The 13,106-nt window shown below is 53.8% G+C and overlaps 1 protein-coding gene across 20 annotated transcripts in view, besides 5 other annotated features; it reads left to right on the top strand.

The window, feature by feature from the left end:
- Positions 1–13,106, top strand: part of ANO1 (anoctamin 1) — a 223,534-nt gene that overhangs the window by 120,959 nt on the left and 89,469 nt on the right. For all 20 annotated transcript variants that reach the window (NR_030691.2, XM_047427185.1, NM_001378092.1 and 17 more), the window contains one exon: positions 797–1,129. Coding sequence is in view for 19 of the 20 variants with exons in the window: in XM_047427185.1 (XP_047283141.1) it covers positions 797–1,129 (333 nt within the window). In the remaining variant the exon portion in view is untranslated. The remainder of the gene's footprint in view (positions 1–796; positions 1,130–13,106) is intronic.
- Positions 2,704–2,874: a silencer, noted in NCBI's record as "fragment chr11:69935765-69935935 (GRCh37/hg19 assembly coordinates)". NCBI's record gives its function as "represses an EF-1alpha promoter that drives an FKBP-Casp9 reporter gene in an ReSE screen in K562 erythroleukemia cells {active_cell/tissue: K562}" and the evidence as "EXISTENCE:reporter gene assay evidence [ECO:0000049][PMID:32094911]".
- Positions 5,061–5,273: a silencer, noted in NCBI's record as "fragment chr11:69938122-69938334 (GRCh37/hg19 assembly coordinates)". NCBI's record gives its function as "represses an EF-1alpha promoter that drives an FKBP-Casp9 reporter gene in an ReSE screen in K562 erythroleukemia cells {active_cell/tissue: K562}" and the evidence as "EXISTENCE:reporter gene assay evidence [ECO:0000049][PMID:32094911]".
- Positions 6,484–6,985: an enhancer, noted in NCBI's record as "H3K4me1 hESC enhancer chr11:69939545-69940046 (GRCh37/hg19 assembly coordinates)". NCBI's record gives its function as "activates a minimal SCP1, AML or CMV promoter by ChIP-STARR-seq in primed H9 embryonic stem cells {active_cell/tissue: H9 hESC(primed)}" and the evidence as "EXISTENCE:reporter gene assay evidence [ECO:0000049][PMID:30033119]".
- Positions 6,986–7,485: an enhancer, noted in NCBI's record as "H3K4me1 hESC enhancer chr11:69940047-69940546 (GRCh37/hg19 assembly coordinates)". NCBI's record gives its function as "activates a minimal SCP1, AML or CMV promoter by ChIP-STARR-seq in primed H9 embryonic stem cells {active_cell/tissue: H9 hESC(primed)}" and the evidence as "EXISTENCE:reporter gene assay evidence [ECO:0000049][PMID:30033119]".
- Positions 12,292–13,051: an enhancer, noted in NCBI's record as "H3K4me1 hESC enhancer chr11:69945353-69946112 (GRCh37/hg19 assembly coordinates)". NCBI's record gives its function as "activates a minimal SCP1, AML or CMV promoter by ChIP-STARR-seq in primed H9 embryonic stem cells {active_cell/tissue: H9 hESC(primed)}" and the evidence as "EXISTENCE:reporter gene assay evidence [ECO:0000049][PMID:30033119]".

The raw sequence follows: 13,106 nt of genomic DNA on the forward strand, positions 1-13,106 counted from the left end.
GGCCACCTTGACATGGCACTGCCTCTGACACTGGCCATCAGAGATTGAGATTTGCACGCACAGAACCTGAGCTCAGCTCTGCCTCAGCCCCTATCCATGTGCATGGGGAGCCCTCATTCACTTGGTAGCTTTTGCCATAGCTTTTGTTGCTGGGGGATATTTTGTTTGTTCATTTAATTTTTAATTTGGGTGGGTACATAGTGGGTGTATATATTTATGGGGTACATGAGATATTTTGGTACAGGTAATGCAATACGTAATAATCACCTCATGGAAAACTGGGTATTTTCCCCTCAAGCATTTATCCTGTGTGTTACAAACAACCCAGTTATGCTCCTTTAGTTATTTGTCCATGTACAATTAAATTATTATTGATGATAGTCCCCTGTTGTACTGTCAAATACTAGGTCTTATTCTTTCTCATTATTTTTTGTACCCATTAACCATCCCCTACCATAGCTTTTTGCAAGCAGCCAGGGAGGTTCCTGACATCCAGCCTGCTCTAGTTCCATAGACCAGGAGGGCTTCTGGGGGACCATATGTGGCTTGGCACCTTCATGAATGATTAGCAGTGAATACCTCCTTCTCGAAGTTCAGCTCCCTGAAGGCAGGGTCTTCTGCTGTGTTCCCAGGTGTATCTCAGGCCCTAGGACAGTGCCTGGCCCGTGGAGGGCGCTCAGGGAGTGTTTGTTGAACGAGTGAGTGAGGAGTGAGTGGATGAAGGGAGCAGCGCACCCTCCAAAGGCCCATCACGAGCAGCTCGATGGTGAATGGGTGTCTTTTCTTCCACCCTTAGCTGCTGAACTCCTTATCTGTGGACCCTGATGCCGAGTGCAAGTATGGCCTGTACTTCAGGGACGGCCGGCGCAAGGTGGACTACATCCTGGTGTACCATCACAAGAGGCCCTCGGGCAACCGGACCCTGGTCAGGAGGGTGCAGCACAGCGACACCCCCTCTGGGGCTCGCAGCGTCAAGCAGGACCACCCCCTGCCGGGCAAGGGGGCGTCGCTGGATGCAGGCTCGGGGGAGCCCCCGATGGACTACCACGAGGATGACAAGCGCTTCCGCAGGGAGGAGTACGAGGGCAACCTCCTGGAGGCGGGCCTGGAGCTGGAGCGGGACGAGGACGTAACTATCTCACTGCGCGCTGTTTGTGGGGGGTGGGGGGTGGGCTGCGTGGGGGGCAGTAGGGGGGCAGCTGCTTCCATAGTCAGAGGGTGCGAGGCTGGTATCTTGTTTTAGCTTTAAGCTGTTCTTAAAGAAGGGGCAGACGGGCCAGACGCAGTGGCTCACACCTGTAATCCCAGCACTTCGGGAGGCTGAGGGGGGTGGTTCACGAGGTCAAGAGATCGAGGCCATCCTGGCCAACACGGTGAAACCCCATCTGTACTAAAAATACAAAAATTAGCTGGGCATGGTGGCATGTGTCTGTGGCCCCCCTACTCGGGAGGCTGAGGCAGGAAAATCACTTGAACCCAGGAGGCAGAGGTTGCAGTGAGCGGACATCACGCCACTGCACGCCAGCCTGGCGACAGAGTGAGACTCTGCCTCAAAAAAAAAAAAAAAAAAAAAGAAGAAGAAGACAGGGCAGCAGACAAAAACACTGTTCTTGTTAAGGTGGGGTAGAAATTGCTTTTGAACAGAGTTAGGGAGCCCTGACCTGCTCCTCTGGCCATGTCTGCTCTGGGAGAGGGTCTGGCCTTCACAGCCATGACCTTCAGAGTCAGAGCATCGCCTGCTTCTGGTCAGCTCCTTTCCTGGGAAGATTTGCCAATCGGGGGAGGGAGGACAAAGCTCTCCTGGGAGTCTTCCTGGATGGGGTCGGCCCTTCTCTGGGCCTCAGTTTCTCGTCTGTAGAGTGAGATGTGGGTCCAGCTGAGCCCTGGGAGTCGTTGGTGCTCTGAAGTCCGTGGCTCTGTAACACTGTGCTCTGAAGCCCTGCTCCCTAGCAAAGCCTACGAATCTTCCTAGAAGAAAGATTTCAAAAGAGAACAAAAGGTCGACCCCCCTCGAGTGCCTGGCTGCTGCGGGGCCGAGGGTGCAGCTGTGTGCAGAGAGAATGACTTTAGCAGCCCTAGCACAGCGGTGCTTCCTTCAGCGGCTCTGCTGGCTGCTGTGTGCTCTCTGGCTGTCATCTTAACCTCTCTGTGCACGGGAACCCTTCCTTCCATGAATATTGGGTGAAGGGCCCCAGCCTACAGAGCCATCACTGTGCGGATTACCCAAGAATCGACAAAGTCTCTAAAACACATCGAAAACAGAAAAAGTTGTCGGCAGGTTAACTTAGAAACCATGGAGTCCCCAGTGGATGTTGAAAATGAACGTTGGCTTTGGTTTGAAATTTCATCCACAGGCACCACCATGTCCTTAAATGCTTTTGGTCCAGTGATAAGAATGTCCTCGGAGTATTTAGACCAAAAAGCAGGTTAATTAGGGAACCTGGAGTGGAAACGCCTCTGTTTTGTGACAAGTAGATATGACTTTCCTTGAAATCAATGGAACGTGCTCCATGGGGCCTCCCTGGACCTTGGCCTAGTGAGTCAAAGGGTCTTGTTGAACCTGGGGCATCTGTCTGGGTCTCCTTTCACCTTCCTGAGGTCTGGCCACCCGGCAGGAGATTGTGAGTTCGGCCACCCAGATGGGTCCCTCTGGAGTTTTGAGGGCAGGTGAGGAGCCTTACAAGTTTTGATGATCAGGAAGCAAAGTTTGATCCTGACAAGGATTCAGAGACTTTCTCCCTGCCTTTGGGGGCAGCTGCCAGGGAACAGTGTCCTGCCCGACTTTGTCTTAGACACTTGGAACAGGCGAGCAGTGGATTCCTGATGGGTTTTCGCACGGTCCTGCCCTCCAGCCCTGTGGCTTTCAGAACAATGCGGCTACTATACAGGGTTTGTTTCAGCATGTCAACTTAGAACTGGAGGAAGGAATCGGCTCCATCAGGGAAGCTTGGCGGCCGAGGCCACTCTCTGGGAGCTGAGGCCGAGAGAGCTGGATTTTGAGCTTCATGGTCCTTGTGTCTCATCTGTTCCCCAGGGTTTGTTTGTTTGTTTGTTTGTTTGTTTGTTTGTTTGTTTGTTTGTTTTGAGGCGGAATCTCACTCTGTTGCCCAGGCTGGAGTGCAGTGGCACAATCTCGGCTCACTGCAAGCTCCGCCTCCCGAGTTCACGCCTTCTCCTGCCTCAGCGGGACTACAGGCGCCCGCCGTCACGCCCAGCTAATTTTTTGTATTTTTAGTAGAGACAGGGTTTCACTGTGTTAGCCAGGATGGTCTCGATCTCCTGATCTCGTGGTCCGCCCGCCTTGGCCTCCCAAAGTGCTGGGATTACAGGCGTGAGCCACCGCGCCTGGCCCCTCCCCAGGGGATTTTACACTCCATCCTCATTCTTTCCTGACTACAACTTTGAGATCTTAACGCTCAACAGGAACTTCTGGGGTCTAGTAATTCTGACTGACTTCTGCCAGATCCCAGACCCTCCACTTATCCTGATGGAAAAGCTAGGCCTCAGTTTCCCCATTTGTAAAATGGAGATAGCAAGAGTATTTGCATCACTGAGTTATCATAAGTAACCTTTGCAAAGTGCTTAATTCAGAGTCTGGCCTGTGGCAGATGCTTGGCTGATATTGTGTCATATATTATTGTTCATACTGAAGCGGCAAGAAGGACGAGAAAAGACCCTTTCCAAGTCTCATTAAATACTATCTCATAAATATCTTTTTAAATATTTTATATTCTCTATCATGACTTTGAGCTAAAAAGCAAAACATAAGGACATTGGTTACTGTCACCAAAATGATCTAGTTTTTAACCAGTGAAATGACCCCAACTTTTCACTGGTAACTTGGCTCAAGGGCTAAAAGAGGCTTTTCAGCAGTTGATCTGGCCATGTTTAAGATGAAACCGTGATTGTGGGGTAGAAACGTCCATTCAAGTTTTCAAAGGGCTGAAGTTGAGATGTTCCCACATCCCTGCTGGAGCCTCTCAAATCATAAGCTGTTTTATGAAGGCTTCCTGGAAACCCCAGAGCTCTCATCTGAGCTGCACCAGCCCCTAGGGCTGTTGGAAGGAGCGATGGTTTGGGCGGCCTGTTCTCCTGGAGAGGGGCAGAGCCAGAATCTATTAAAAGGCTGCTTGGGCACACGCAGCGTCTGAAGTGTGTGTGGGCCCCTGCCAGCGTGGTTAGCAGACAGAGCTGCTGCCGTGTTCATTTCAGGGGGAAGAAGCACTCTTGGGAATGAACCTTTCCCGGAGGGGTGCTCAGATTACAACGAGCAAAGGGTTTGCGATTTTGAAAATAAGATCACCTCCAAGAGAGTCCAGTTGCACAATCTTACCCAACTGGAAGCAAAATTCAGGGCTTATGTGAGCTTTCCTGGGGAGAAAAATCCACAGAGTCTATCAGATTCTCACACTGTCTATGACACCCACCCCCAAAATTATGACTGGTTGCTTTGAAGCAGGTGATATTTAACAGCATCCCCGGCCTCTACCTGGCCAGTAGCACCTCCCTCCCCAAGTTGTGAAAGCAAACCAGAAATGTCCCCAGACATTGCCAGTGTACGTGGGGGGCAAAACCACCCCCAGTTGAGAATCCCTGCACTGAAGGCTGGATGAGGAGGCAGAGGGAGAAGAGGACATGGAGGGAGAGAAAGGGGGACAGATGAGCAAGACGGTCCCCTGAGGGGTGCCAGCCACCTCTGGGACCATCTGCTGTGGCCAGGACTGTGCAGCAGTCATGGAGGCCACTGGCTGTGCAGGTGTGACCTGGCCTTTGTTCCTGGGGCGCCGGTGGGTGGGACACACTGTGTCACTCCTGGGCAAAGTGTGCTGCGAGCCCCACACAGGAGTGAGCAACCCCTATGCCCCGTGCGTGCCTCCTCACTGAGTCGGGAGGTTCATTGTGTTGAGACATCTTGTGACAACCTGGCAGATGGGCTTGGCTGAGTGCACAACGGGGCCAGTTCTTGGAGATCGGATAACAGCTATGTCATGCCCTGCACCTGCACAGGCTGGGGGCTTAAAACAACACAGATGGATGCTGTCATAGCTTTGGAGGTGAGAAGTGCACAATCAAGGTGCCAGCAGGGCCGCGCTCCCTCTAAGACTCCAGGGGAGGATCCTTCCTGCCTTTACCAGCTCCTGGGTCTCCAAGTGTTCCTTGGCTAGTGGCCGCATCACTCTAATCTCAGCCTCTGTGGTCACTCGGCCCTCTCTGTTGTGTGTCTCTGTTGTGTGTCTTCTTCTTGTAAGGACACCAGTCATTCTATTTGGGGCCCACCCCTACGACTTTATCTTAACTCGGTTACATCTGCAAAGACCCTGTTTCCAAGTGAGATCACATTGATAAGTGCCAGGAGTTAGGACTTGAACATATCTTTGTAGGGGACACCACTCAGCCCACTCCAGTAGCTGAGATGCTGCACTGGGCAGGTAATCCTGGAGTTGGCTGCCTTGGATGGGGCAGGCTGGAGCACGCGGGTAGCAGCATGGGGCAGGGTCATGGCTGAGGGCCAGGGAAGGTCTGGGGGAGTGACAGCTTCCAGCTTTGGCCTGGTCTGCCTTGCTGCAGGACCCAGGATGCACACAGGAACTCCTGGGGGTCTTGTCAAAATGCAGGCTCTGGCTCAGCTGGTCTGGGGGACCCAGCACCTGGGGTGGCTGAGGCTCTGGTCCTTCCCAGACCATGCTTTGAGATGTGAGGAGTGTGGGAAGGGCCTTTTGCACAAGCCAGGAGAGGCTTCCCCAGAGCAAGACCCCCAGTATCCACATGAGCCCCTGGAGCACTGTGTGGTACCCCAAGGGTGACCCCAGACCAAGACCCCAGGGCCGGCTCCAGAGAGCCAAGAGCCTGTTGAGGTCGGAGCCATGTCCCAAAGAGAGACCCAGGGGTGGGTCAAGAAGGCATGGGCACTCAGATCCACAGGGCGGCCTTCAAAGTGGGTTTACAGGAGGGGCCCAGAGACCTCAGGACAGCACTGCAGGGCAGGAAAGGGCAGGAAAAGAGAAGGGCCCTGAGGCAGGGCCTTCCTTCTCTCTCTCCCTCCTTCTCTCTCTCCCTCTTGATCTCCCTTTCTCTCTGTCCTCCTCCTCACCTCTTATTCACCTCTACCTCTCTATCTCTCTCTCTCACTTCTCTCTGTCTCTCTCCCTCTGTCTCTCTGTCCTTTCTCTTTTCCTCTCTCTGTCTCTCTCTCCCTTCTGTCTCCTCTCCCTCTCTATCATTCCCTTTCTCTCTTCTCTCTCTCCTTTCTTCCCCCTCTCTCTCTCTTCCCACCTCCCTCTTTTTCACTCTACCCCCTCTCACTTTCTCTCTCTCCCCCTCTCTCTCTCCTTCTCCCTCCCTCTCTGTCTCCATCTCTTTCCCTCTCCCTCCCCTTCTCTCTCCCTCCCTTTGACAGCCATGGGGTCAGCTTTCAGGGTTCCCATTAAAGGGACTAAAGAAGATATGGCCAACATGTTTTCTTGCAACTAAGACCCATTAGCCTTTTTGAAGTCCAGCCTCAAAGCCTGCTGGACATTATTTATGTCCATGGGGTCATTGCGGAGAACGCCACACACTAAACTCTTGGCTGTGTGTGCTGGGGGGCGGCTGAGGCCCACACTGCCCTGATGTTGAACCTGACCCAGGCTTTGGTAGATCCTGAGAAGGCCGTGGACATTGGAACCCTATAAAAGTCTGTTTGCTTTCATGTCGCTGCCCAGGGCTCAAGTCTGTACCCCACTGGCTCGCCGCTGGTTCTCCACATGCATCCCCGTAGTGGGTGGGGCTGTCCCCGCAGCAGCATCTGTTCGCCATCTTCATGGATGCTGCTTTTGAAAAGCAAGTGAGGGCGGACTCCATGGGAGAAGGGCTGCTTTCAGACAAAGCCCACGGCTGGATGCATAGGTGGTGGAGACGCAACCTCGGGGCTCCGAGTGCGGGTTCAGACCCCGCCCAGCCCCTCTGAGAGCCCGGTATGCGGATGTGGACCCAGCTCAAACTTCCTGGCTGAGCAACCCTGGGCAAGTGGCTTCACCTCTCTGGGTCTCAACGTCCCCATCTGTAAAATGGAGTTGATAGTGTGACCTTCCTTGTGGAGTGGTGGGTGAGGGTCAAGAGAGTTAATCCTCGAGCCCACAGAGGGACAGAGCTGGCCAGCGTTGGCTGTAAACGCCCCTTACCCACAGGCCTGGGGCAGAGCCCACTCCTCACCACTCCCAGGGCCTGACCCTGCTCCTGCCAGAGGGGAACCGCAAGTCCCCCTTGGAAGAGAAGGGTCTCCCTGCATGTGGAGACCCCGCCCCTGCCCGCCGCCAGGTGACCAGGGAGGGTGGTGGCAGGGTTGCCATGGCCTCAGGACAGGGAAGGGCAGCCATTTCTTGCCATTTCCCATGGAGGCCTTGTGGATGTGGGCAGGTGTGGGAGGCAGTCCTGGGGCTGCATTCATTGTCCACAGGGCCCTGGGCACTGGCAGGGGCTGGGGAGAGGCCCTCACAGATTTGAGAATCGGGGGTGGGGGCCTGGAATTTGAGGAGTCTCGGGCCTAATCCCAGCTCATCAGCACAAATAAAAGCAATAAACATGCTCATGAGACTTGTCAGTTCCCCACTCCGTGTGGGCTTCCTACCAGAACCATGAGTAGGTAGGGCAGAATTTCGATCCTGAGCTGAGAGTGGCACGTCTGGCCTTTGAACCTGGCCCCTAACCTCACCCAGAGACTCTGCACTAAAACTTGCAGTCCCCGTTCTCCCCCAGGGGAGGAAGAATGGGCCTCTTGCACGATGGGATGTTAGGAACCTCTAGTCTATTCATGAAGCTATTTCTCTGCTCTTCATTCCACTGTTACAGACTTCTTTGGTCCCTAAAGATTTTATGCCTCCCCAGTCTTCAGCTGAGGCGCGAAACAGATTGGATGACTTTTATCATGGCCTGATTTTCTTTTGGCTTGTCTTGGTTTCATGGAAACATATTTCTTTTAAAGTGAATTCTGGGCTGGGTGCCATGGCTCATGCCTATAATCCCAGCACTTTGGGAGGCTGAGGCAGGAGGATCACCTGAGGTCAGGAGATCAAGTCCAGCTTGGCCACATAGCGAAACCCCATCTGTACTAAAAATACAAAAATTAGCCGGGCGTGGTGGCTGGCGCCTGTAGTCCGAGCTACTCAGGAGGCTGAGGCAAGAGAATTGCTTGAACCCAGGAGGCGGAGGTTGCATTGAGCCAAGATCGCGCCACCACACTTCAGCCTGGTTGACAAAATGAGACTGTCTCAAAAAAGAAAGAGAGAGAGAGAGAGAGAGGAAAGAAAGAAAAAGAAAGGAAGGAAGGAAGGAAGGAAGGAAGGAAGGAAGGAAGGAAGGAAGGAAGGAAAGAAAGAAAGAAAGAAAGGAAAGAAAGAAAGGAAAGAGAAAGAAAAAGAAAGAAAGAAAGAAAGAAAGAAAGAAAGAAAGAAAGAAAGAAAGAAAGAAAGAAAGAAAGAAAGAAAGAAAGAAAGAAAAGAAAAGAAAGAAAGAGGGAAAGAAAATTCATTCTGGACCTTTTTAAAAATTCATGTTTTTAAAGTGACCCCAAGACCATCATTGCACAGCTCTGCCACAGGGCATCCCAGGCTGCTGGGGTGAAATCTTTGCCATTCTGGCTATAGTTCTGAGGTCCTCATCTGTGTCCAGGCCCATGGTGTGCTGGAGTCATGTCCTTCTGGAATTCTGCAAGCTGGTTGTTACCCGTTGCTGGCTTGAAATAGGCCACGGTGGGGTATTTACACCATGGGAATTGGCAGATGCTGCAAATCAGGGCTTCCCTCGCCCCCGCAGGAGCCCCTCACCCCCGCCGGAGCCCCTCACCAGCATCTTCTTGCACCAGCCCCATGTGCCTTCTTGTCTTTGGAGGGGTTGAGCATTTCCCAACATATCTGTTGAGTTTTTAACTCTTTTTATGATCTTTTTTATTTCTAGGAGTTCTATTTGGTTCTTTTCCAAGTCAGCTATGTCATGTTTTAATAGTTTCCTGTCCTTTGCAGTTCTTTTCTATCTTGAGGTTTATGTCTTTAAACGAGTTAAGCATAGCTGATTTATTACCCAGCTCATCCTTTGCTAATCCCAAGCTGAGTGGGCCGATTTCTATCTCGGTCACTTCAGCTGGTTCTCCTCCCGGGGCTGTCTCTTGCCCTGGTGGGGGCGGGTCTGCTTCGCTTGTCTGCTAGTCATTGACCTTTTATAATCTGTGGGGTTTCCCAAAGCCTCTGATAAAGGTGACCTTGTCCAGAAAGGTTTGCAGCGTTATAGATGAGAGCCACCTTGAACCAAAGCCACAGTCTGAGGTGCCCAGGTCTTCACAGGCGCCATGGCTGTAGGGGCCAGAGCTTCTCAGGGTGGGTTCCAGTCCTCCTTTTCCTTCTCTTTCTCTCCTCCTCCTCTGCTGGGCACCCGTATCGGTCCGTGGCCTTTTAGGAACCAGGCCCCCCAGCAGGAGGTGAGTGGTGGGCCAGCGAGCATTCCTACCTGAGCTCTGCCTCCTGTCAGATCAGCAGTGACATGACATTCTCACTGGGAGCCCAAACCCTGTTATGAACAGTGCATGCGAGGGATCTAGATTGTGTGCTCCTTGTGAGAATCTAATGCCTGATGATCAGAGGTGGAACAGTTTCAGCCGGGAGCGGTGGCTCATGCCTGTAATCCCACCACTTTGGGAGGCTGAGGTGGGAGGATCACCTGAGGTCAGGACTTCCAGACCAGCCTGGCCAACATAGTGAAACCCCGTCTCTACTAAAAATACAAAAATTAGTTGGGCATGGTGGCACATGCCTGTAGTCCCAGCTACTTGGGAGGCTGAGGCGGGAGAATTGCTGGAACCTGGGAGGCGGAGATTGCAGTCAGCCAAGATTACGCCACCGCACTCCAGCCTGGGTGACAGAGTGGGACTCTGTCTCAAAAAATAATAATAATAATAATAATAATCAAGGGGTGTAACAGTTTCATCCTGAAACCCCAGCATTGTCCTGTGGAAAAATTGACTTCCACAATACCAGTCCTCCCTGGTGCTAAAAAGGTTGGGGACCGCTGTTTCAGGTCATTGAATTTCTTGTTTCTTTTCCTGTGGTGCATTCTTTACTATGTATCCTGGGAGGGTTGATCTGAGTAATCTACCACCTTCAACAGAAGCAGGAATGTGAAATGATATTTCTGCTGACTTACCTATCATTTATTTCTTTAACAAGACATCACTGAGCAGGCCTAGGACCAGACCCCATGGCAAGGGCTGGGATTAAAGATGTCCACAGCCCAGTCCCTGCCCCATGCTTGGGGAAGAGCAGTGGCGCCTGATCCACCCACGGCTGCATTCCTTGGGTCCTCAGCTCGCCTGAGACTCGAGTCTGGAGACTGCGTCAGGATAATGGGGGATGTATGCTTGCTCCAGAAGCAATCCCTCAACTGTGCTTCATAGCAGTGTCCCTGCTATGGGGAGCCAGGTCTTCCTATGCAGTGTGGACGTGATCAGCAGTAACTGTGGCGTGGGAAATACCAGGCACCGGCAATGACCTCTCCAGGCAGACCCCTGCCCAGGGACTGAGAGCATCTCCCATCTTGCCCGCGTGCCCTCTGGAGCCGTGCGGGTGGAGGGTAGGAGTGAGCATTGCAGGGTCAAGGTCAGGCTGAGATTCCTCCACATCTACTGTTCATGGGCCTGGGACAAGGGGCTCTGGGCCTTCCCTGCCCCCTCGTCCATATTTACTGAAGTGGACACATCCATAGCTACCAAAAGGTTGGAGAGAAGGCGGATGGTAGTCTGAAAGCCGGGGCTGTCCTAGGCTGGCACAGAGTAGGCGCTTTATAAAGTCGGGTGCCTTCCCTCTGCCTTCTCCCTCACTCAGTGGACATCACTGAGCCTCTGCTCTGTGGCCACTGCTGTTCCCCGTCCTAGGGATACATCAGTCAGCTAAACAGATAAGCCTGGCTTCAGACCCAGTGTGCCAGCTCCTATCCGTGCTGGAAGCTGGTGCCAACGGGGAGAGACAGGCAGATGCCAGGGCTGCTGAAAACTCGCCTGGTCATGAAGGGCTGACCAGGGATGTGGCACTGGGCGTCACATGCCCCAAAAGCCTATTTATGGCAGAGAATGTGAACCCCTTGGGGCACCCGCCAAGGCTCCTGGTGTCTGCCCCCGAGTCCGACGGCAGGAGGATTAGACCACAGCAGCCCCGCGTCCTCGTGGACAGACAGGGTCAGAAGAGTCCTGTGCCTTCCTAATGGGGCCACACGGCTCCCCGCAGGGCTGGGTGTTCTCCTCCTTGGGAGCTGAGGAAGCTGCAAACAGGGAAACGGGGATTTGTCCAGGTGTTCTGTGGGTGCTCGAGGGCCTTCGGGCCCAAACCCCACCAACGATGAGGCTCCTGGGCTTTCCCCTGCACCCAGTGGCCTGGACTGCTGTGCACAGCACACACCCATGGTTCCTGCCCGATATGGGAGGTGCCTGGCCTGCTGTGCACGGCACACACACCCCATGGTTCCTGCCTGACACGGGAGGTGCTGTCTGGGGAGGCCCCTCTCAGTAGCACTCTGACCTTCAGGCTTCAGCCCTCCAGCACCCCGACGCCATGATTGAGGGCCAGACATCCATAGTGAACAATGCCCTCCAGGGTATGAAGCGGCCTGTGAGGACCAGGGTAGGTGAGGAAAGAAGCTCACCCCCTAGGAAGCCAAGGGCAACCCGAAAACCACCCAGGTCTGATCTTTAGGGGTGCAAACCTTCAAATCTTCTAGCAATTTCGAGCCCACGCTCCAGCTGCAGGGAGTCCCATCCGTGGCCAAGACTGGATGATAGAAGCACACAGGGCCACCGCGTGGACTGAGGGTCTAGGCCCTCGGGCCACGGGGGCTGTAGCGGGGACCCTCAGCATCCCTGCCCACTGTGTATCCACCATGGGGACTCACTTCTCCTTTCTGTTTGTGATTTTCTTCTTTCTTCTGAAACGAAAATGTCAGAAGCAATTCCAGGAAGGTCAGAGTTCTTCTGGGCTGGGTTCAGAGGGAGGTTTCCGCCGGCATAGTTAGTCACTGCACTAAGGTCAGCATCTTCTGCCCCCTCTGGTTGGGGGCTGTCTGGGGGGCTGACTCTGTCCCCTTGCAGAGCCCCATGGTCTGGCCAGATGGGGCCTCACCACCCCCACGGCCGTGGCTCTCGACAAAGTAGGTTCATGAACCTCAAAGACCCCAGCTTGAGGGCCAAGAGTCGGGGCAGAATGCACTCCTCAGGGCGCTGGCTGGGGGCGAAGGGGACACGGCTGTCACTCCCAGTGTCTTCCTGCTGGGGACAGGCTGTGGTCAGCCCGGGCACCATGCTTTAAAACATCCCACATGTGTTTTTGCCGAACTGGTCTCATGACCCCTTTCCCGAATCTCACCAGATGTTTCCCTGGGAGAGACCCTGTTGCTCATGTAAACGGGGGTGCATGTTTTCCCAGGGAGGCCAGCAGCAGCCACCGGCTCCTTGACCACCGTGCAGAAATCCTCATGGACTCAGAGGAATATATTTTGGGTCTTTGCATGTGAGTGAGCAGAGCCCAGAAATAAATCTGTGTCTGCAACAAGAAAAGACAGGCTCTCCCACACGTGGGCTGTCTTTTCTCCTGACTCAGAGGTGCCCCATGAAGTCAGTGCTGTTCCTGTGGGTCACCAGGATGGAAGACCTCCACCTCTCCAGCCTCAGTGCCCTCCGTGGCTCCCCAGCACTGAGGAGGTGGCTTCAAGCTTCTTGGCCGAAGGAGTCTGTGCTTGCACAGGCAGGGGCTCAGCTGGACCAGGGCTGCCAAGAGCACCAGAGGCTCCCCTGCTGGGAAACAGGCCTTGTGATACCCAGTTTGCGATGAGGAAATGTAGGCTCAGAGAGATTAAGTCACTCTGTGGAAACCACACAGGGGCAGGGCAGGATTCCAGCCCAGGCCACGCCGTCCCAGGCCTCTAAGCACAGTGCCCACTCAATCTGCCCCTCGAGGGCCACAGAAGGATCTGGGCTCATCTTGCCGGAGCCCCTGGCACTGCCTCCTCCAGTTCACGCTGAGATCATCAGTTCTCAGAGGGAGCCCAAACCCACACCTTATGTCCTTCAGCCCTGGGCTCCCCTACAAGGGTCC

Source organism: Homo sapiens, chromosome 11 (genome assembly GCF_000001405.40).
Source record: "Homo sapiens chromosome 11, GRCh38.p14 Primary Assembly".
Taxonomy (NCBI): domain Eukaryota; kingdom Metazoa; phylum Chordata; class Mammalia; order Primates; family Hominidae; genus Homo; species Homo sapiens.